At 38.7% G+C, this 21,058-nt stretch overlaps 1 long non-coding RNA gene across 40 annotated transcripts in view, besides 1 other annotated feature; it reads left to right on the top strand.

Moving 5' to 3' along the window:
* The window catches only part of NR2F1-AS1 (NR2F1 regulatory antisense RNA 1), a 176,234-nt gene that overhangs the window by 152,411 nt on the left and 2,765 nt on the right, over positions 1–21,058 (top strand). For 7 of the 40 annotated variants that reach the window (NR_186217.1, NR_109824.2, NR_186185.1 and 4 more), the window contains one exon: positions 719–814. The exons of 30 other annotated variants lie outside the window; for them this stretch is intronic. This is a non-coding gene — a long non-coding RNA (NR2F1 regulatory antisense RNA 1). Of the gene's footprint in view, positions 1–718; positions 815–9,934; positions 10,025–10,757; positions 10,870–21,058 lie in introns of all 40 variants that reach the window. 3 more of the 40 variants (NR_186194.1, NR_186184.1, NR_186200.1) reach the window with 2 other exon arrangements.
* Positions 11,382–11,676: a silencer, noted in NCBI's record as "tiled region #8230; K562 Repressive non-DNase unmatched - State 24:Quies". NCBI's record gives its function as "represses a minimal TATA promoter and a strong SV40 promoter by Sharpr-MPRA in K562 cells {active_cell/tissue: K562}" and the evidence as "EXISTENCE:reporter gene assay evidence [ECO:0000049][PMID:27701403]".

Genomic DNA, 21,058 nt, shown 5'->3' with positions numbered 1-21,058 from the left:
ACTAAGAGATAAGGTATAACAAAAGTGGGGAAATTAGTCTATAAGATACGAGAGAACTTTGTTTTCAAAACTGCCACAATGTATCAGAAATTATAAGGGGTGGTCATGGCATAGGAGAAGCATGAAAATATACTTTACTAAAAGTTGAATAATGCATATATCAAAATGAACAAGAAGAGCAGTAATGCTCACAATGTGCCAGTGATAGCATGTATAAAACCTGTGGTTTCTTGGCTATTTGGAAAATAATAAAATGAAAAATGACTTCTAATGGACAAATGTGATATACTGTTATAAAATAAGCCTTTCTTAAAGATTAGGAAAAATAGAAATTACACAAAAAGATATGGGAAAATCTGTAACTTCAACCTTTGTGGGCATGGTATGAGAGCAGGTAGTACCGAATTAAGGAGGAAAACATGCTGACAAAAGAAGCTATAATTGTAGGCAGCGTACAGGCAGGGTGCTTTGTGAAGTTCTGCCAGGGAACAGCTATGACGCATCAGCAGTAGTTGGAATGGAGAAATAGGGGAATGGATAATTTAATGACCATTTAAAATAGTTATTTTACTCTCTGAGATATGGTAAGAAGGGTAACCAAACCCAATGCTCCAGGACACAAGTGATTGGCTAAAGGAGTCAGGAAGAAGTGTTTGTTGTTCTAGTTGGTGTAGCCTTGCTCAGCTACTTAGGTACCCTCTATGTGTTCCTTTCCTAGCATCAGGTATTATCTACTGCTGTCTGCAGAATTCAGACATGGAGGGCTCAATGGTGTCCCCTGGTCTTTGGAACATTCTGTATTTTAATGATCATGGTAAGTACTTGGAAAATATGCAGCAAATATAGAGATGTTGGTGTTTCAGTAGAATTAATGACCACATCTGATTTTTGACTGGTGTTTTCATTGAAATCATCGGGTCTAGTGATGATTTCCTGGTCAATTTTTACTAAAAGAATTGACTATATATAACATCTGACATTTTTTATTCTTATAATGGACTAGGTCTTAAACACTGAACCACAGTTCTGCCCAATGAAAAGCACAGGTGTTCTGACAAGCAATAATAATAAATAAGATGTGGTATTTTTATTTTGTCAAGTAGTATACATGCATATAGTCTATGCAGGGAGTCAGAATACAAGGCTGCTTTAACAGCAATCAAATTTTGGTAGAATGTACTTGATTTTAACATCTTCCTTTTAGACCGGTATTTTAAAGAAGATCAGAAAAATTACTCATTCTGGGAACAAAGACTTTTGAAAGCTGTCAGCTCACTGACAGTTATGATGAGCATTTATTTCAGGCTTATAAAACATATTAATCAAACTCATTTACAGTGTGGTGGTCCAAAGAGGGTTATTTTATTTTTGAGAGATACTTTAAGTAAGTGAAGAGCACTGGTAACATGTACTCCATGAATACAAAGCTACAATGTGTTTTTCGTCTTCAAAATGAGTAAATACTTTTCTTGGGTTTACGGAATGAAACATACTGCAGGATTCTGTTTATTACAAGACTATTTGCAAAAGACCTATGCACCATTCATTGCACCTTGAAAAACACTTGAAAATATGGGTTGCATTTGCAAACTTCAGTGTATGACATGGAAATCTGGCAAGCTGCCTGGTGTCTACTTAAAGGATTGTCATTCTGGGAAAAATAAATTTCTCTAACTAGACAAAAGTCAATGTTTTCATGTTTTACTGCAATCAAACTGATAGAGCTGACAATTTAATGTCTCAACACTTAAAATATCTGTGGATAATCAGTTACCTCAATCAATCATAAACACAAATCCGTCTATTTTCAAAGCTTGTGTGTCTGTGACTAAGATATAAAACAGTTTGGTGAGACCCATCCCCCACAACACCTCATCATCTCCCCCCCACCATCATCTCAGTAGTCCTGATTTGTCTTTAGCTATGCAGATATTTATACACATTATGCATCTGGAAATAACTTTTAACAACTCAAGTGTGATCAAATTTAGAAAGTTTTCTTTCACTGTCCTGTTTTATTTAATTTTTATGGGTAGTTTATAGCCTGTATGGCTGTCAGAAAAATGTGTAACTGTGCTGGCATTCCAGCTGAAGACATCATTACGAGTGAAAAAATGCTCAAGGCTTTTTCAAAGTGGGTGCTGAAACATACATTTCCCTTCTCTGACTCCAGGGGATGCTGGTAGCTACCCCAAACAGAGGTATTTTGGGGTCAGATGGTATAGTGCTGACCCCTTAGGATTTCCTGGCAGGCACACTGGATGGCTCATTTCTGGACACTCACCATGATGATGATGATGATGATGATGATGATGATAAAGCAAGGGAGACAGTGACAACACAAAAAGGCTCCTGAGGAATTGGATTCCAGGTAGCTCTAGATTTGGCAGAACTGACAGGTTCAGTTCACTAAGCTTTGGTATTGATAATGACGGGAAACTTCAGACAGTTTTAGAAACCTGTTTCTATTAAGATATGCATGGCATTTCTGCAACATGAGAACAAGTTTACTGGGCCACACCATTCTTCTTTCGGCATAATAAGAATTGATGTGAGAATTTTACATTCCTAACAGATAATTACTCTGAATACTGAATAAGCCAAATTTCTTGTTTGGAGTATTTTTTGATATATTTTTAATGGTGTATATGTATATATCGACATACACATTCACCACCAATGCCTCCTTTTTGTTTCTTTGATTATTTGGAGCTTTGCAATCAAACTAAGCAGTTTTAGGACCCTTGGGGCAGCATCTTTTAGTTCCCCGTCAGGCAGCGTTGCAAAGCAATCAATCTTGCTCTCACTCTCACTTGGCGGAAGTGCCACGACACGAAGAGTGCAGTGCTTCGCTCTTGCCATGAAGCCTGGGTGACAAAAGTTTTTACAAGAAGCTGACTGTATTTGGGGTTATGAATATGCAATAACTCTCATTAGTATTGAAGCACCAGAGCAGGGGCTGACATCCCCCGCCACTTTGAGTTGCTGCAGAATCGACTAATGAATTGTCTCACTCCCTCACTCACACAGTCTGCTATTGTGGCTCCTAAGTTCCAAGGGGAGTTGCCCATTTTGAGAAGACCATTGACTGCAAAAATTAATTGTCGAGGACTACTCTTGATTTCATGAAACAATGTTTAGACAGTGCTTAGATTGTCAAAACAGAAAAGCACTAAACTCTGCATAAGATAATAACATGAATAGAAAAATTTAGAGACACAAGAAGGTATATATTATGTACTTATATTCATCATTGTGTACAGATATGCTTCCATCCTGGATCATTGTACAATATGTGTAACTGTATATAGATGAAACCAAGTCACAGAAACCTGACATTCTGTTGGTTTGTCTATTATCCTTCCAAATGGAACAGAGATGATAGAAAATTCCCAGAATGAATAGGGTTGAAACACAAAGATATTCCATCAATTCTTTACCATATTCTTTCTTTTGTATTCTTGGGTCTCTGCCAAACATTTTGCAGCTCATACACATACCATCTTTCATGAATATGTTACTGATAAGGATATGTTTATAGCCACTGATTAAGATATCTGAGCTGATTTGCAGTGTGTAAGAAGATGCAAAAGAGCTCAGAAACCATTTAGAATGTCCCCTTTCAATAGAATAAATTAAATGTGTTTTTCCACATCCCTCCTCCCTTGAAATTTCCTTTCAACTAGAAGAGCACTTCTGTGACTTGCTGCAGATTGTCACAGGATGGATTGAATTGAAATTGATAATATATGCTAAAAGGTAAGGGATATTTTGTAAGCTGTGCAAATATGGCAGTGAACAAAGAGTTAAACTCTTATATTAGGATGCTTGCTTCTGTGGTCATTTATTTAATCTGCAATGTAAAGTCATCCCTTGCAAGGAAGTAGATATTTGTTATTTCGTAGAGTTTTAGAGGTTAGTGTTATTATAATTGCTGTATCTGTTTGACCCATCACTGGAAACAAGAAAAAAAATAAAGTAAAAGAACCACATACATATAAGAGTACCAAGAATGAGTATAGCATAAAAATAAATGCAGCTCTGACAAAAGTGGCTCAAGTATCATACATCAAACACTTGTTGCCTCTGCTGCCTTTAGTGACTGCACATGACTAAGAACAAATCAGTGATAAAATCTTAAGAAAGATGAAGCCAGTCTGGGCCTTTGCAAAGACCATTAGTCATTCTACAAAGCCATAATATTATTTGTTCAAGTAACCCTTGGCTTCCAATTTAATGGACATAATATGCATCCACCCCAGTTCAAAGCCACAGAGAGAATTTTTAAAAATTGGATACGTCTTAGAGAGTACCAATCAGATCTGATCACAAAACAAGCTACTAAATTATTCAGTTTTATTACTAAATTTGCATTCTAGCTGTACTTCAATGCAAGTATAGGGTTTAAAATTTTTACTGTTTTTAAAGTACTTATATAATCAGAAGTGAAGTACCTGTACAATCACAAGCATTTCCTGATTTTTCTGATGCCATTTCCCTAGATATCCAAACATTTTCTATTATAAGACAAAAGTCTACCTGGGTACATCAGAATAAACTATTTAACTCTATGGAATACACTTGGATTTTAAAATACAAAACTGGAAACAGATCCATTGGAACAATTATGGCTAAGCACAACCTATTCAGGTTTAATAGAAATATTAATACCTGTTACTATGAATAAGATAATCACATTACAAGTGAAAATAGTTTTAATTGAAATATTGTAGTTTTGATTTGGCACTGTAATTAGCATCTGTATTTTAAACTTTGTGACTGCTGTGAACATTATTTATGGAAGGTTTATATTAATATAATTTGGTGCTTGTTGCTTTTATCAAATATTGGTGTCTAATGAAATAAAGTGCAAAGAACTTGAAGTTCTCACATTTTTGTGAGTGATTTGCTGACAATCATTTGCTGTACCTCCTTTTCCACACACAACCACAATACAATTGTAAGAGCAGGTGAAATAATATATTACATTGCTTCTATTTATATTATGTTAAGCTCTCTTACTACAAACCTGAAATAGAATTTGGATACTTAACAAGAGAACAGCAAATATGAATATGGATTTAGGCAATTATTTGATTGCTCATTCTATACTGTATAGCATCCATAACTATATTTAGCATTTTGATATAGTTTATGAAGTGGACCCAGAATTGGACTACCCTATAGCAGACAGTGCTGGAAGTCACAGACAGATTCATCCTCCCTCGCTCCCTCTCCCCTCACCTCTCTCTCTCTCTCTTTCTCTCTCTTTCACATACACATGTATGCTCTCATAATGGGGAGGGAAAAGAATGAAGAAGAGTTCAGCCTTTGATGAACTTACCTAGAATTTTGCCATCAGAAACTATTTTAATTTAAAAACATACGTGTACATTTTGTCCTTTATGGTTTAGTATTTTTTTAATTTACATGTGAATGTGGGGCACCATAGTCATTTCAGTCTTTAGGATCTCTAGAGGTCTTGGTCTGAACTTGAACAGACCAAAGAATTTACTGTCAGCAAGTGGTATTTATACATTTCCTTGTCAGCCATGAATTAACAATTATTGAGTACAAATCTGGGTGCTGAGAGTAGGGACAGGTGGACTAGGAAAATACAGAAAACAGAATCTTGGGTAACAGGAAGTTTACAATGTAGCTGGGGTGAAAGATCATGGGTAACAGTGGAGTTTCATTTACAGGGTTAGATGTCAACAAAAGTAGATTGGTTTAGTGCTCCCGAAGTGCAGAAGTGTTTCAGGGTTGTCACTGAGATGTGAGAACAGCCTCAGGAGGGACAACTGTAGGGACTTCTCATAGGAGTTCTTGCTTGGATTTTGGAAAATTAAACATTTTATTAAAACTTGGCTTTACTTTGAAACAGGATATAAGTGTGTCTAAAACTCATTTTATTTTGATTTCAATGGCAATATTTCCTTTAGAAGCGATATAAAGTTTATAATTGTGTGTTTTGTAGTGTTCTTTAAATTTTTTTCACTTAAAAAAATTGTATCCTTAGGTAAGGAGGAAATTTGTTTACTACCATTACAGTTGCCCCTTTTAAATGAAGGACAAGGGCAAGAGATTATACATGAAAAAGATCAGAGTAACATTTAAATAACTGTTTCTTCCTTAACTAACTCTTCAGTAGTCTTGTCTAGGTATACTTATAAATGGTGATTCCATATCGATGCCCAGAAAAATTATGCAAGTCCCAAAGTCCTAAATTATGCAGTTCCCAAGTCCTGTACTACCAGAAATGGTCATTATATGCCTTGGCGGGAGGGGGGGAACTTTTATTACTTGGTTGGATCTCTAAAAACTGATGTAACTTTCATCACTAGCCACAAGCCCAGCTCTCAGTAAAACTGCGAAGTTGTTTATCTGCCACTCTTTACTTTCCCACTCTTCTTCCTTTTACCTTTTTCCCACTCTTCTCAGATGGCAATAAAAAGGGCTTGTGGTTACCCCCTGCCAGGGGCATTTGCTTTTTAAACAGGAGACTTTGTGATTTGATATGAGTGTTGGGTGTATGGCAGGTACTGTGCTAGCTGCTTTACATGTGTTACTGCAACACAGATAATTGTATGGATGAAAAAAGTAGTGCAGAGATATGCACAAAATGAATTGTCAGTATCACACAGGTAGTTAGGTTTTGAGTCCTAGTAGTATTTTTGACTCCAGAGCCTATGTTGTTTGTATTACATCAAAACATGTTCAGACCTTGAATAAATTATGCTAGAAGTTCAGGCTTTGTGCCAGTCCCACAGGAAAAAATGCTTTTGGCAAGGAGCATTGCCCTGCCTGGTGCCCTTCAAATGAGATGAGGTGGGCCGGGCATGGTGGCTGATGCCTGTAATTCCAGCACTTTGGGAGGTCAAGGTGGAAGGGTCACTTGAGATCAGGAGTTTGAGACCAGCCTGGCCAACATGGTGAAACCCCATGTCTACTAAAAATACAAAAATTAGCTGGGCATGGTGGTTTGTGCCTGTAATCCCAGCTACTCAGGAGGCTGAGGCACAAGAATACCTTGAACCTGGGAGACAGAGGTTGCAGTGAGCCAAGATGGCACCACTGCACTCCAGCCTGGGTGACAGAGTGACAGAGTGAGACTCTATCTTAAAAAAAAAAAAAATTAGGTGAGATGGATCTAATTAGTTCTGCTAACTCATGAGGCCAGTTTTGTATTTGTACCTTAAATCTTTTTTAATGTAGGCATATCCCAGGGAGACTTTAATCTTTGTTTTAAATTTAATTTAATTTATTGAACGTTTATTGAATGCCTGTTCTTTGCCAGACATTGTGCTAGATGCTGGTGGTACAAAGACAGTCTATTTAAGGAGAGAGACTTTATAAGACATTATAAATAACTATAATACAATTCACTGAATGATATAATAGAGGCAATGCAAGGGATCATGGGAACGTATGAGGGAATAATTAATTATGCCTTGAGGGAAGGTGTCAGGGAATGCTATATTTGATCAGAGCCTTGAAGGACAAGCAATAAGAATTTCCCAGAAGGACAGGAGGAAGTTGAGAGTTCGTTTTAAGTGATGGGAACAGCATGAGCATGTGTGTGAATATGCCTGGCATATTTGATGGATGGTAAGAGTTGGTTGATTGTAAAAACAGTCACCAATTTCCCTTTCCTGCTTCTAACTCCTGGCAAAGTGACATTGCAGATCCATCCATTAAGAGGTGGAGTCTCTCTTTCTCTACTGAATCTAGGTTGATCATATGACTTGCTTTGACCAGTGGATATTAGCAAACAGTGCAGAGACTCATGCACTGGGGCTTCTGCACTTGGAACCCTGTGACTGTATTGTCAATGAGCCCAGGTTATTGTGCTGCAGGATGAGTGGTCACCCAGAAAAGAACCGAGGCTCTTGCCAGCAGTCATCGAACTGCTAAACATGCGAGTGAGATCATCTACTACCAGCTGATCCACCATTTGATCACAAACACATGGGAGTGTCCAGGGGAAATCATTTGTCAGCCCAGATTTCCCCTGATCTCTCTGGGGTGTCAGCTCGGACGGAACTAACTGCCCAGCCCATTCACAGACGTATGAACTAAATAAAATGTTGTTTTAGCTAGTAAATTTAGGGTGTTTTGTTTTTCAGCAAAGCTGATACACAGAATTTATATGTAGCGTACAGGAAATGTAGGAGAGGGAGAAGCTAAAAATGGAGAGAATGTTAAGGAGTTTAAGATATCTGATACCATATTAAGGAGTTTAGACCTACTTTCTAGTACCAAGCTTCCCAACATCATTGATTCATGTACTGCTTTTATCTTTTTTAAAACATCTCACACTACCTGAATAGATTAATTTTTCTTTAAATTGCCCGAGTTTTATACTGAAATTTATTTTTAAAGCAAACTTTTAACTTGACACCCAGTTTGATGTGTTAATTCTGTTTTTTGAAACCTATTAAAATATGAATATTTAAGAAGTTGGTCTGTTTGCTATCAGAAATCATCTTGTATATTATGAGGAATGCATTCAAGGATTTCCTGCTTTAATCAGTAGGAATCAGAAGCATGTGGAGAATAGTCTGAAGTGCAGAGGCTGGTGGTAGGGAGGATTGAGGAGGCTAATGCAGAGGTCCAAGTGGGATATAGTAAATGGTAGGTAGATACACTTGAAATGTGTTCTTGAGGAAGAAGAGAAAGGACCTGGTGACAGATTTGATCTATGTGGGGTGAGAATGGGAAGTGTGAAGGAGAAGAAGGAGTATAAATATGGCTAGTTACCTTGATCATATAGTAAATACTAATACTATTAAGAAAAAGGAGAGAAAAATATAAATTATATAATTTATGATTTAATTTGATATAAATTATAAAATTATATATATTAGAAAATATAATATAATGTACTTGTAGAGTTTGTGATGGTAGGTCATTTGAAAACAGGTGTGCTAGGCATTTGGACGTGGGTCTGGGCTTTATTATTTTTGAAGTCATCAGTGTGTAGTTGGCATGTAGTTGAAGTCATGAGAGTAGATGATATCATCTAGAGAAAGTATTTGGTACAGAGATCTTCAGCTTTTGTTTTTTTCATCCCCAGACTCTTAAGAGAAATAACTTACTCCAGCTAGCAATAGTGAGGGGTTCACATATGTAATGATTCTCAAATGGGAGTGGAGGGGATCTGTGCAGTGTGAAAAATATGTCCCCCAGGTGATTTTGCTATACTGCTCCTCAATCCTTGTGGGTTTAATGAAATGAGGACCATGGAAGAGGAATTAGTAAAGACAGAGTAGTCTGAGAGGCAGACCTTCCTAAGAGACGATAATTTTACAGAAGTGAAGGCCTTTAAGATGGAGGGGTGAGCCACAGTGCTAAATTTTGCAGAGAAATCTAGTAGTATTAAGATTATTATTTAACCAATGCTGACTCATGAAAGTATAGTACTTGGCATATAATAGGAGCACGGTAAATGTTTGAGTGAATGATTTATGTAGAACTGTTTTGTATTTGAAACACTCCATAAGCCGTCGGTGTTAAAGTTAGACAAGATTTGTAATTGTACTACTTTGGACTTGGAAATCAATATGGATTTTTAAAATTTTCTCTGTCCATGGTCAGTGACTTACAAGAGTGCCTACTTGGGCACCATAATCCTGATCTCAGTGCAAAGCAATGTTTGAGTCTGTATTCAGGAAATAATGCTGGGGTAAGGCTGTTGACTGATGTCTGTTTTATGGCCATTCCACGTGTGGGCCTCCTGCCTCTGCCACCCATGGTTCCCAGAGGCAAGTTACTTGCCTTATGCTGATTTGAATTGAGAGAATGAATAGACTTTACTGGCAGAACTGGAATGCCATCAGCCTATCTAGTTCTTAGGTAATTTTATGCTCACACTAGCAGCTTCCTTTTTTATTATTATTAAAATGAAAGGATTTCTACCTGCCTTTGCCTGTAGCTAAGGAGAGGCCCCGGATCAGGACAGCAGTTTCCTCAGACGTGATGTGGTGCCCCTTGCATCCTGCTCAGAGAATTCTCAGCAGCACAGGTTTGTTTGACATCTGGCATTCATGATTCCTGTGAGAGTGGCTTCCCCCTAAATGTGCCCTGAAAGCATTCCTGCTGTGCCCCTTCTGTCCAAGTATAAACACATCATAGGAAATGAGCAAGTAAAGACCCAGCTTTTCCGGAAGGAATGAAGGAACCCCTCACCCAGCTGGCCCGGGTTTTGATGTCCAGCTTCAGGAAATTTTGCCAGCCGCTGGGGTAGGGGCTGTTGTCTTCACCACTTGGCACCTTAGTCCCTTTCCCATTCTAAACTCCCCAGGTGCTGTCCACAGCCTCTGTTCTAAGTCATCCAGCTGAGGAAAATTGTTCCAGGACCTTTGAAATGTGAAAGAAGGGTTGTTTTTCATTGTAGATTAACCAATGTGCAACTGGATTAGTTATTTACAGTTGTAAATGTGGTGCTGTGTTTACTGAGGTAGGGGACACATTTAAAAATAGTTGAAGCAGTCTAAAGCTAGACCTATGAAAAAGATTCCTTTCCACTTGTTTTAATATGAAGATAAAAATATTAAAAATGATAAAATGGATATATAACAAGGAAGTTAACACCAAAATAAAAGGAAAAGGAAAGCCTTTTCACTTTCCCCTGGCTATTGTCTTTCCAATTCCATTTTTTGCTCCAGCCTAATGAATGTATTGTAAGTAAAACCTGCATGCTGTCTTTGCTCTCTGCCTTCCTACTACTGCAAATATCAGCTCAGCCACTCTTTCAGATCCACTTCAAGGAAACACTGACTTGAAAACTCTCCCCCATGGTTTTGTCTGAACTGGCTGCCATTCTGCAGCACACACCAGATCCAATTGCTGGAGTCGGGAACCCGAGAGGTGAGCAAGAGCAAGCACTTAGCTGAGTGAGTCAGGCGGGCCTGCGTGAAAGGATGTAGGTGAGCCAGAAGCTAATGGGAAAAATAGGGGGTCGTTGCTAATTTTGATGTGGGGAAATCTGAAAGGCTCTTCTGCATGTCAGAGCATTTGAATATTTGGCAAACAGCTGGCTGGGCTCCGGGAGAGTGCCTCTTGATTCGCCTCGTCAGATGTTCAAAGATAAAATGAGGCAGCATGCACGCCAGCACATAGCTCATAGCCTTGCAGTCAGTTTTGAATTTAGATTTGAATTGTGATATCAATGTCATGGTGGCACATGCTTTGAGAAAGTACTTACAGAGAATAATTGAAAGATTCAGTGTGAAGCTTCTGAAAGCCGTAATTTAAGGTTCCAGAAGCCTCCATATTACTTTCACCATTAAAATTTAAAGTGACAGAAGCCCAATTATGTATGGTTATTTTCTTAAATAAAATCATATTTCTACCCCAAGTGAAAGATTCATTGCTGCCCACTAATCTCTGTCAGGAGAACCAATCTCAGCGGCATCCAGTGTCGGCAGCCAAGATGGTTAGCTTTGTGCTGGGGACAATGGAGCGGCCCTGGGGGAAGCAGAGCTGGAAGGCCTCCTCGGAGGAGCTTGACTTGCAGGAGGCTGATTTGCATGATAATCACCATCATGGATCCTCCCTGGTGCCAGCCTCCACACTTAACCAAATGCAGTATAACTTTCATAGCAGCTGAAAAGCCCGAGTAGGGGCTGTAGCACACATTTTGCAAAGCCTGGATGACGTCAAAAACTGCTAGTGAAGAGGGGGCAGCTGGTTGTAAAGCTAAACCACACCGAGGAATGGAGACTTGGAACATAACCTTAAAACCTGATAAAGAATATAACTTTGGGGACTGTTGAAAAATACGAAGCTTTTCCCTCTTTTTTTTTTTTTTAACTCAAAAGAATCTGTTTACCAGAAGAAGCCTTTTCTTACTGGAACTTCTGAAGCTGTTGAAACCATGGCATGAAAATAGATCAGTGGAAACACAGAAACATTTCCAGTGCAGACATTTCGGTCTCCATCAGTTAAAAGTATGGAGCCAGACTTGTAGACTAGGAATCTTCCCACCAATCCTTGGTCTGTTTGATTTTACTTTATACTGCATTGTGATTTGGGGCATATGGTAGAATGGTAGCCAGAATTGCAATGAAAAATTGCACAGAGCCAGTCAAGCTTAAATCACTCAAAGTTTCTTATGAAAAACTTTATTCCTTAGGGCTCCCAGGGACAAAGGAGCATGTAAATCAACTGATGTTATGAAGCATGATTTTGGATAATATGGAGAGTATGTACATATCAATACTAATCTAAGCAGTCTTAGAAATAATAAATCACATATTTCTTGTAATTTTCCCAGTTTGATAAAACATTTACAAGTGGGTCTTGGTTCTGCTGAGTTTTTGTCATGACTGTAGCACAGCCAGCTCTTTGGCAGTCTGCAAGTTTATTTTTTGTTTTCTGGATTTAGCTTTAGGATCTATCCTTCTTTTTACAGAATTGGTCCTGTGATAAGAACTCAACTTCTCTTCCTTCCCTTTTGTTCATGTCTCAGTAAGAGGTGGCCACATTCACTTATGTCCATGACTCTATCACTATGTTTAGACTCTCCCTGTAAATTATTTTGTCTCTTCCATTTTCCACCTTTGACATTTTGTTGGCCTCTTCCTTTAAAAAAATCCTTTTTTAAATTCCCTGCTCCCAGCCTTCTTTCTTTCAATTCTTCTTGACTTGTCTACTCTGCAGTCTCTGCCTTTTCACCATTCACTGTTTAACCCTTTGCAGTATGGCTTCAGCCACCCCAGATATGCTAAAACTACTTTCTCAGACAAAGACAATACTCCTACTTGACAGACCCTCTTTCTCACTGTACTCTATAGGGGAGTGACTTACCTAATTGGTAAATTTGGGGTGAATAAGTGGGCTAGCTCAGCTTACTGCCATGCTCGTTCTATCTGGAGAAGGGCCTGCCTACCAAGAGCACACATTTTCTCTAAGGCTGGGGGCTCATCCCAGCTTTTGCTGTCCTGGCCTGCCAAGATGATACAATTTTTTTTGTTTGTTGGTTTTGAGACAGTCTCATTCTGTTGCCCAGGCTGGAGTGCAGTGGTGCAATCTCGGCTCACTACAACCTCCGCCTCTTGGGTTCAAGTGATCTGTGCCTCTGCCTTCCGAATAGCAGGGATTATGGGTGTGCACCACCACACCTGGCTAATTTTTGTATTTTTAGTAGAGACAGGATTTCACCTGTTGGTCAGGCTTGTCTTGAACTCATGACCTCAAGTGATCCACCCACCTCTGCCTCCCAGATTGCTGGGATTACAGGCATGAGCCACCATGCCCGGCCCCAAGATGATATAATTCTATAGCTTAGCCATGTGTGTTTTGGATTTCAGACTAAGCTACCTCCTCCACCTTGGCTTCAATCAGAATAAAGGTTATATTCTGGTCCCCCATCTGTTTTTATTTTTGTATTATTTCTTTATTTGCTCAGAACCTAGGAGAGGAAAGGGGTGTCAATTTTGCAGAATCCTTTAGAAACCTCAACACATATATGTTTAAGAAAAACTTAAAGTTCTGTCTTTCCAAACTCACTTTCCAGAAGTGACCACTATTAATGTATATCCTTTCCGATATTTCTATGCATATGCAAATATATGTTTATATAAGTATATAATAGAAACTTCTTTTAAAGGTAGAGTCTTTCTGTATTGCCTAGGCTGGAGTGCAGTGGTTATTCACAGGCACTGTCTTCACACACTATAGTTTCAAACTCCTGGGCACAAGTGATTCTCTTGACTTAGCCTCCTAAGTAGGTGGGACTGCAGGTGCACGCCACTGTGCCCAGCAATAGAAATGTTTTTACTTGAATATCACATAACAGAAATATACATAACTACATATTTATAGTTACAAATCTCTAAGATATATTTCTTTTCATGTAATTTCCCTTTGTACACATATATTTCTGTATATACACAGTGGTATTTTTTCCAAATATGGTATCACTCTATACATGTTGTCCATCATCCTTTTTTCACTGAACATAGCTTCATGCCAGTAAACAGAGGCATACTATGTTATTTTTAATGGCTGCACAGTGCTCCCGAGTATGGATGGTCCATAATTAATCATCCTTCAACTGTTGGCCATTTAGATCACTTAACACTTTTGCCATTGCAAATAACACTGTAGTGAACATGGTAATGTTTTTGTTTTTGTGAACTTGTGCTGCTATTTCTGTAAGATAGATTCCTAGAAGTAGTACTGCTAGGTATTTGATTAATAATAATGAGGAACTCATAGGTTGGGAAGGATTCTGAGAGTGCTCAGTTTATCCAACACACCCAGGAAGGTTTTTTTCTTGCTATGACATTGAATAGTCCAGAGAGTGAAACTCCATATTCTTTTTCAGTAATGCTTTCAGTGACTTGAAATCAAAATTGATTATAAAAGAAATGGTAGCAATTATGATGCTGTGGCCAAGAGAGTTGGAAGTGAAAGTGAAAGGCTGAATCCTAACATAATACTGTGGTGAGCCTGGTGGACAAACCAGTCAGGTAACACAGATAAGGGGTCAGCAAATTATGGGAGCCTCAGATATTTGGATGAATTTACATTCATATAGTAGGGAGGTTTTTATTTATTTATTTATTTATTTATTTATTTATTTTTATGAGACGGCGTCTCGCTCTTTTGCCAGGCTGGACTGCAGCGGTGCAATCTTGGCTTACTGCAACTTCTGCCTCCTGGGTTCAAGCGATTCTCTGCCTCAGCCTCCCAAGTAGCTGAGACTACAGGCGCATGCCACCACACCCAGCTAATTTTTGTATTTTTAGTAGAGGCGGGGTTTCACCATGTTGTCCAGGATGGTTTCAATCTCCTGACCTTGTGATCTGCCCACCTTGGCCTCCCAAAGTGCTGGGATTACAGGTGGGAAGTTTATTCTTTTATACTTTATGGAGAATAGCTATGAGAGATTAGTTCACTCTGGGTGTCCAAAACTGCAAACCTCAAGCTGGTCCTCGGCAAGCTGGCCCCCTTTAGGCCTCGGCTGTCAGTCACCAGGAAGTAGGTGACCTATTGAGAGTCTGGCCAGACTTTAAGGGACCTGAAATCTGCTTCTGCCACCTATTCCACAGTGCATCAGGCCTAAAGAATAGTTGGCTATCCTTTACCTGGATTGCTTTGCTTGTGTCCCAAGGCTGTTTCCCTTGCAGAGAGGCATGTGGCAGCTCTTTCACAAGTTGGCCTAAAGAAAAGAAAAGAAAAAAGCATGATGCAACTTGACAGAGTTGTGGGACTCTTAAGTGCTCCAGGTGGCCCCCTCTGACACCTGTAGGATTTATTTAGAATATTTTCAGTATGGTGATGACCTACAAGGAGAAAAAAAATCCCCTGTGTATTATGGAACTGGCTGTAGGCATGGTGAGAACAGTGCTGCAGACATGTGCTTTATTCACTGTCATATCTTGTACATGTTTCCCACTCATTGTGTACCTAGAAGCATATCTGCATCAGAAACAAGTGCAGCATGAGTAGCGAAGATGAACATGTTCAACAGCTAGGAATGACCACATACTGTGCACATTTACACAACACCGTGAAAAGAACCAGGCAGCCTCGCTGTTAGATCATTTCACTGCACACCAAAGAGCTTTGAAATGGACTTTTAATTATCATTGCTGAATTGCTATGGCTGTATTCTTTAATATGAGCATCTGATTAGGTTAATTTTCTTTAATTGATGAATGAGCATTTAAACTTGTAAGATTGAATTGGTTGTTATGTATTGGCAGTTTTATATTCTGACTTTTTTGCTGGAGTACAAATTATAGGCACTCTTTATCTGTTTTAGTTTTGAGGTCACTGTTCTTCCTTCCTTCACCTTTGTGTGGCTTTTTAGATTTATTAATGGATAGAGCAGTGCTAAGTGACTATTAAACTCTTTTCCATATACAATAAAACCCATTAACATGGACCTCACTAAATTTGGAATTTATGAAAATGAGGTCAAGGCCTGGGTTAAAGTTTACCTTTGCATTGTCTCTGAACTAAAGCTTTGCTGAGCTAATAAATAGTATAAATAAAATTGCAGGGGGATGGCACTATTCCTTTAAAAAGCAGATTTCTCTAGCACTTTAGAGAAAGATCTTGTAAGGCAGATAATGAAGTAGTGTGGCATAGTGCAAAGACTAGGCCACTTACTAGCTATGTGACCTTAGCTTCACTGAGTATTTTCCCCCATCTGTAAAATGGAGATAGTTATCTACTTTATGAGGTTGTTGTGAGGGTCAGTTTTAATGTATAGAAATGCCTTGTGTGAAGTAGTTACTTCATAAATGCCAGGTAAATATTACCTAAAATAAGTGTTGAGCTAATTTTAAATACTTTTTTTTTAAATAAACCACTTTAGAGTTTTGTAACCTTCCTCTGAGATATTACTTTTAATATTATTATTGATTGAAGAAAAAAACCTAGCAGTTTGGTGTGATTGTAAAGAGCACGAGCTTTGGAGTCAGACAACTGCAACTTTGGAAGGAGTTCGACCGCTTAGTAGCTATGTGGCCCTAGGAAAGTTAACATCTCTTAAAGTCTGTTTTCCAATTTGTAAAAATGGTATGATAATACCTGCTCCAGGACTGTTTTGAGGACTAAATGAGATAATATAAGGTAAAAAGCCCAGTGATTTTCATGTAATAAACTCCCACATGTCAGCTGTTGCTGTTATGCTCTTTTTGATAATTGTCCATACTTTAGACTTTTCATTCATTCAAGCTTGTCTTTTTCAATTCACCCAAATTAATGAATCTTATTCTAGATATAATCTCTGTTCTATATGAGAATTTTAAGTAGGTAAAAATTATAGAGAAGGAAAAATGGCTGTATAAATAGGGTGAAAAAAGAATAATATTTTAAAAGTAGAGGCACAAAGGCAAGTTAGACATAAATTACTGCATAATGAATTTTGTGCACAGTCTTTGTGTCAAAGCTTTTTATATTAACTAGAAGGAAATGGAACTTTATATATAAGTAGTAAAAAGTGTGTGCTAGTGACCAGCTCATTCCATTCATTGGGAGAGAAAGGCATTAAGTCCATGTTTAATTTTATTTTCATCTTCTTGTTTCCCCTGTTTCATAAGCTGTGTGGGTGAGAAATGTAAGTACTGTAATGTCCTGCATGAGACTATAATCTATCCTCTCCTTAATGACAGCCTTACACAGCTTGTAGAATCCATCACTTCAACAGAGCAGACTGAATTACTTCGATGACTGGCAAATGGGCACCACTTGTGGTGAAATGAAAGCAGTCAGGTGTGTGTTTATTAAGTGCTCTTCAATAAGAGAAATGTGTTTTCCTGAAAACTCTCATCCATGCTATTTTTGTAGAAGCAAAAAAAGTGCCCATCTTCCTTTGAGAAAACAGAAGAATTATTTTTCTTGAGATTCTGTATTATTACAATACAAGTTCACAATCATAAACGTGTTATAAAAATCAGGCTTTTCTGCAGTGTATGCATGAACAGTGGAAGCTTGCAATAATAACAGGCAGGGACAGAACCAGTACTCTTGGGGCAATGTGCCTTTGACTTTCCAGGACTGCCCAATACAAGTGGATCATTTAAAAAAGTTAAGTCAGTTCATTAATTTGATGACCAGTGGTTCTACATATAAGAGTTTTCATAAAAATAAATTCACAAGTCAGATAATATCTTTTGTCAAACCATGTTTTCTATGATTTGGGTCAGAAAGTGATCATTCTAATGCACACCATGTTGATTATTTGGATTAGATCAGATCTTTATTGGAAATACTGAATGGTGAGTTGTTAAGGTCTGGCATTATTTGTTTAGATCTGGCATATGAGTAAGATCAGCAATAATAGCTTGGTATTTATTGAATGCTTACTATATTCAGGTACTGTGCTAGAAACCAGGGATATGAGACCCCCACTCTACCTCCCCCAAAAAAGACATAGTCTCATGTTGCTGACAACAACCCTGTGAAGTAGATACAGTTAAAAGAATATAGAGTTTAAGTTATTTGTCCAAGATAGGTCAGCTATAAAGTGGCAGAGAAGTATTTGTTACAGCAACCTAACCTATATTCTTGTTGAGAGGTACCAAAGTATAGTGGCTTAAACATGAAAGAAGGAGCTCCTTGACACAACGAAGCTGGTGTAGCAGTTCTGGATTGCTTATGTTTAGACTGTTGGGTCAGGGAGATGTAAACTTCTATCTGATAACCTCTGCTACCCCTGGATATTGGCTTCATTAATATGTCTGAAGATGCATAAGTGTTCTCTTTAAGGGCATTCCTTGGAGGTTGTACTCCTAACTTTTTTTTTTAACTGCAACAGTTTATTTTTCCTTACACAGTAGCATGTTGCTGGGGCCTAATGTTCTTACATAACAAAAGAAAACCAAAATTTGTTGTCATTGCTTAAGTAATTGAGAATTGTTACAAAAAAACCTTATATAAATTAAAAGGATGAATAAATTTACAAGTGTACATGCAAACTGCTTCCAACTCAAGGCAAGTAACAGCCCATGGTATTCTGGCAGGAGAACACCAGGTAGAAAGGAAACTGGGTCCTAAGGCTTGGACTTCTCCAACCCTGATATAGTGGCAAGACAGAAATGACAATTGGTTCAGGAGCCCTTGCCAGCCTCTAGAGAAATCCTGGAACACTCAGCCCTGACACATTAATACCTACACAGATCGGAGACTGCTGGCCACGCACTCTCACCAAGGCACAGACTTCTCTTCTACAGGCATGTTCTCACCTTAGCCACAGAAGTGACTGAGCAACATATATTAGTACTAAGGGTTTAAATCAAATATATTCCTAGTTTCTACTCACATCCCATCAACCATACCTAGCTATCAGGAGGGCCTGAAAAAATAGTTTTTGTGGCCATTCATCTCTTTAAATTCAAGGATTCTATCAATAAAAAGATGTGGACAGTGGGTATTAGGGGCAGTGTCATTCTGAGTTACATGCTAACAAAAACATTGTTTCAAAGTGGAGTTTTCACCACAGACTTGTCCAAGTGATGAAAGATCATAGGACTTTGGGGTATGCCTAAATCCATTATCCAATTCTTTTCAAGTAAGGTTATGTGTATATGTATGTAGTATGTATATGTTATATGTAAATATTCAAAATATGTGAAGTATCATGAATATTAAATGATTCTACAGTGGACTGTGGTCATCTGCAAGAGCCAGTGAAACATTTTATAGTAGAAGTCCCTGGCTTTAATCTGGCAGGAAGGCTTACAAACCCCCCAGGATTTGTCTTGCTTGCATCCTAACTCAAAAAGATCTCAGACTCAGAGATCTATGATGTAAGAAGTGTGTTCTTAGAGAAATGCCTTTATAAAAATAAAATTAAGGTTTTGAATGAGGGATGTACTCAATACATGAATCATAAATAACACTGACCCAGAACTTCAAAATTTCTCAGAATTCTTGGTCTATTCTGATGTAGTTTAGACATTTACTGTAGAAAAATCAGTAAGTTTTTTTTAAGAAGACACTTAGATTCTAATTGCATTCAGATCCTTGCCCACGTGTTTCTTGTGGCCACAGGTACTTGGAGGAGATGAGCACAGGCTACACCTCAGATATTTAATACATGCACATACGTTCTTAGCCTACCTGGGCCCTGGCCCTCCTACCCCAAACCTAATGCAGTCTCTGATGAGCTCAGCTCAGAGAAGTTTCAGTCCAGTTTTATCACACCGGCCATGTGGAAGTAGAAAGAAGCAATCCAAAGAGAGTGAGAACCTTAAAGAGATGAACCCTGAAGAGATGAGAGAGCCCACAGAAGTTAAAGCTTTAACTTTTTCTCCCAGTACACTAAAAGCTTCTCCCACTTACAAAAAGTTTAACTGAGTTGGGTAACTTGATTCAGTCACTTTGTGTCTTTTCCTCCTTGAGGATGGGCTTGGGTAGGGGTAAGGAGAAGATGGGATGGAACTTTCCTCTCCTTTTCTTTCTAGAGATCAGCATATATATATATATATACACACACATATATATATATACATATATATACATATATATGTCTATTCTGATGTAGTTTAGACATTTACTGTAGAAAAATCAGTAAGTTTTTATTAAGAAGACACTTAGATTCTAATTGCATACACACACACACACACACACACACACACACACACACACACACACCATAGTGCTATAATTTGTCTAGGCTGGGTGAGGAAGTTCCTATGAAGGGTCTCAGCAGCATAGGTTTCCAGGGAACAGGAGGAAGCCAAGATTAGGTGTATTAGGGACTGGGAACTTGGTTTCACTAGCATAAGCCAGCAGTCCAGTCCTTAGTGACCAAGTGGATGTGGTTGGGATTGGTTCAGGGAAGGTGTTGGTACCTGAGGAGATTTAATTTAGCAGGAGGTTTGGGCCACTAGAATTGTAGATAACAGGTGAGATTTAGAGTCACGAGTGGTGGTATCATGAAAGGAGGCAATCTAATCACAGCTGGATCCCAGCCTACAGCTGGGGGCCTGGAATGGAATCTAGGGAAGGGTTTTATCAGGTCCCTAGTCAAGTAGATTTAGGTTCAGGGCAAGGCATAAGGCAACCGAAATCCAGTTTGTAGGAAACCGAAAATCCAGTCAGGGCAGATGCCAGCTCTGAGGATTGAGCCAACATGTTTGGAACTAGGAAAACGGAGAAATGAAGAAGCAATGTAGAGTAAAGTCAGTGCAACTGAATGCATTTGTGGTCAAATATAGAATTCCAGTCTCACCATCTTCTGGGCTGAAGTTGCTTCTCTATGGTCTGCTCTGATGAGGATGGGTTGAAGGTTACAGTAGTGCTGAGCCTTTTAAGTGGAGACATCAGGGGCCCAAGCTCAGAGGGAGCCTGGAATGAATGGCTGAGGTGGAGGCCCAGAGGTGGTAGCATTGCTTGGAAGGAGTTGAGACTATGGCAGAGGAGACCTAGGCCTAGCTAGGAGGCCATCTTATTCCAGGCTGAGGAGAAGAGGGCCTGAGCAAGGAGGGGTGGTGGAGCCAGGGTCTGCAGTAAGACAGTTCAGAGAGACAACAGCCCCTGAGCATGTGAATGAATGGAAATGTTTCTTGTAAAGATGCCTGTCTTTTCTGGTGCA

This window comes from Homo sapiens, chromosome 5, assembly GCF_000001405.40.
Source record: "Homo sapiens chromosome 5, GRCh38.p14 Primary Assembly".
NCBI lineage: Eukaryota > Metazoa > Chordata > Mammalia > Primates > Hominidae > Homo > Homo sapiens.
This window is presented reverse-complemented; position numbering and strand designations above follow the sequence as displayed.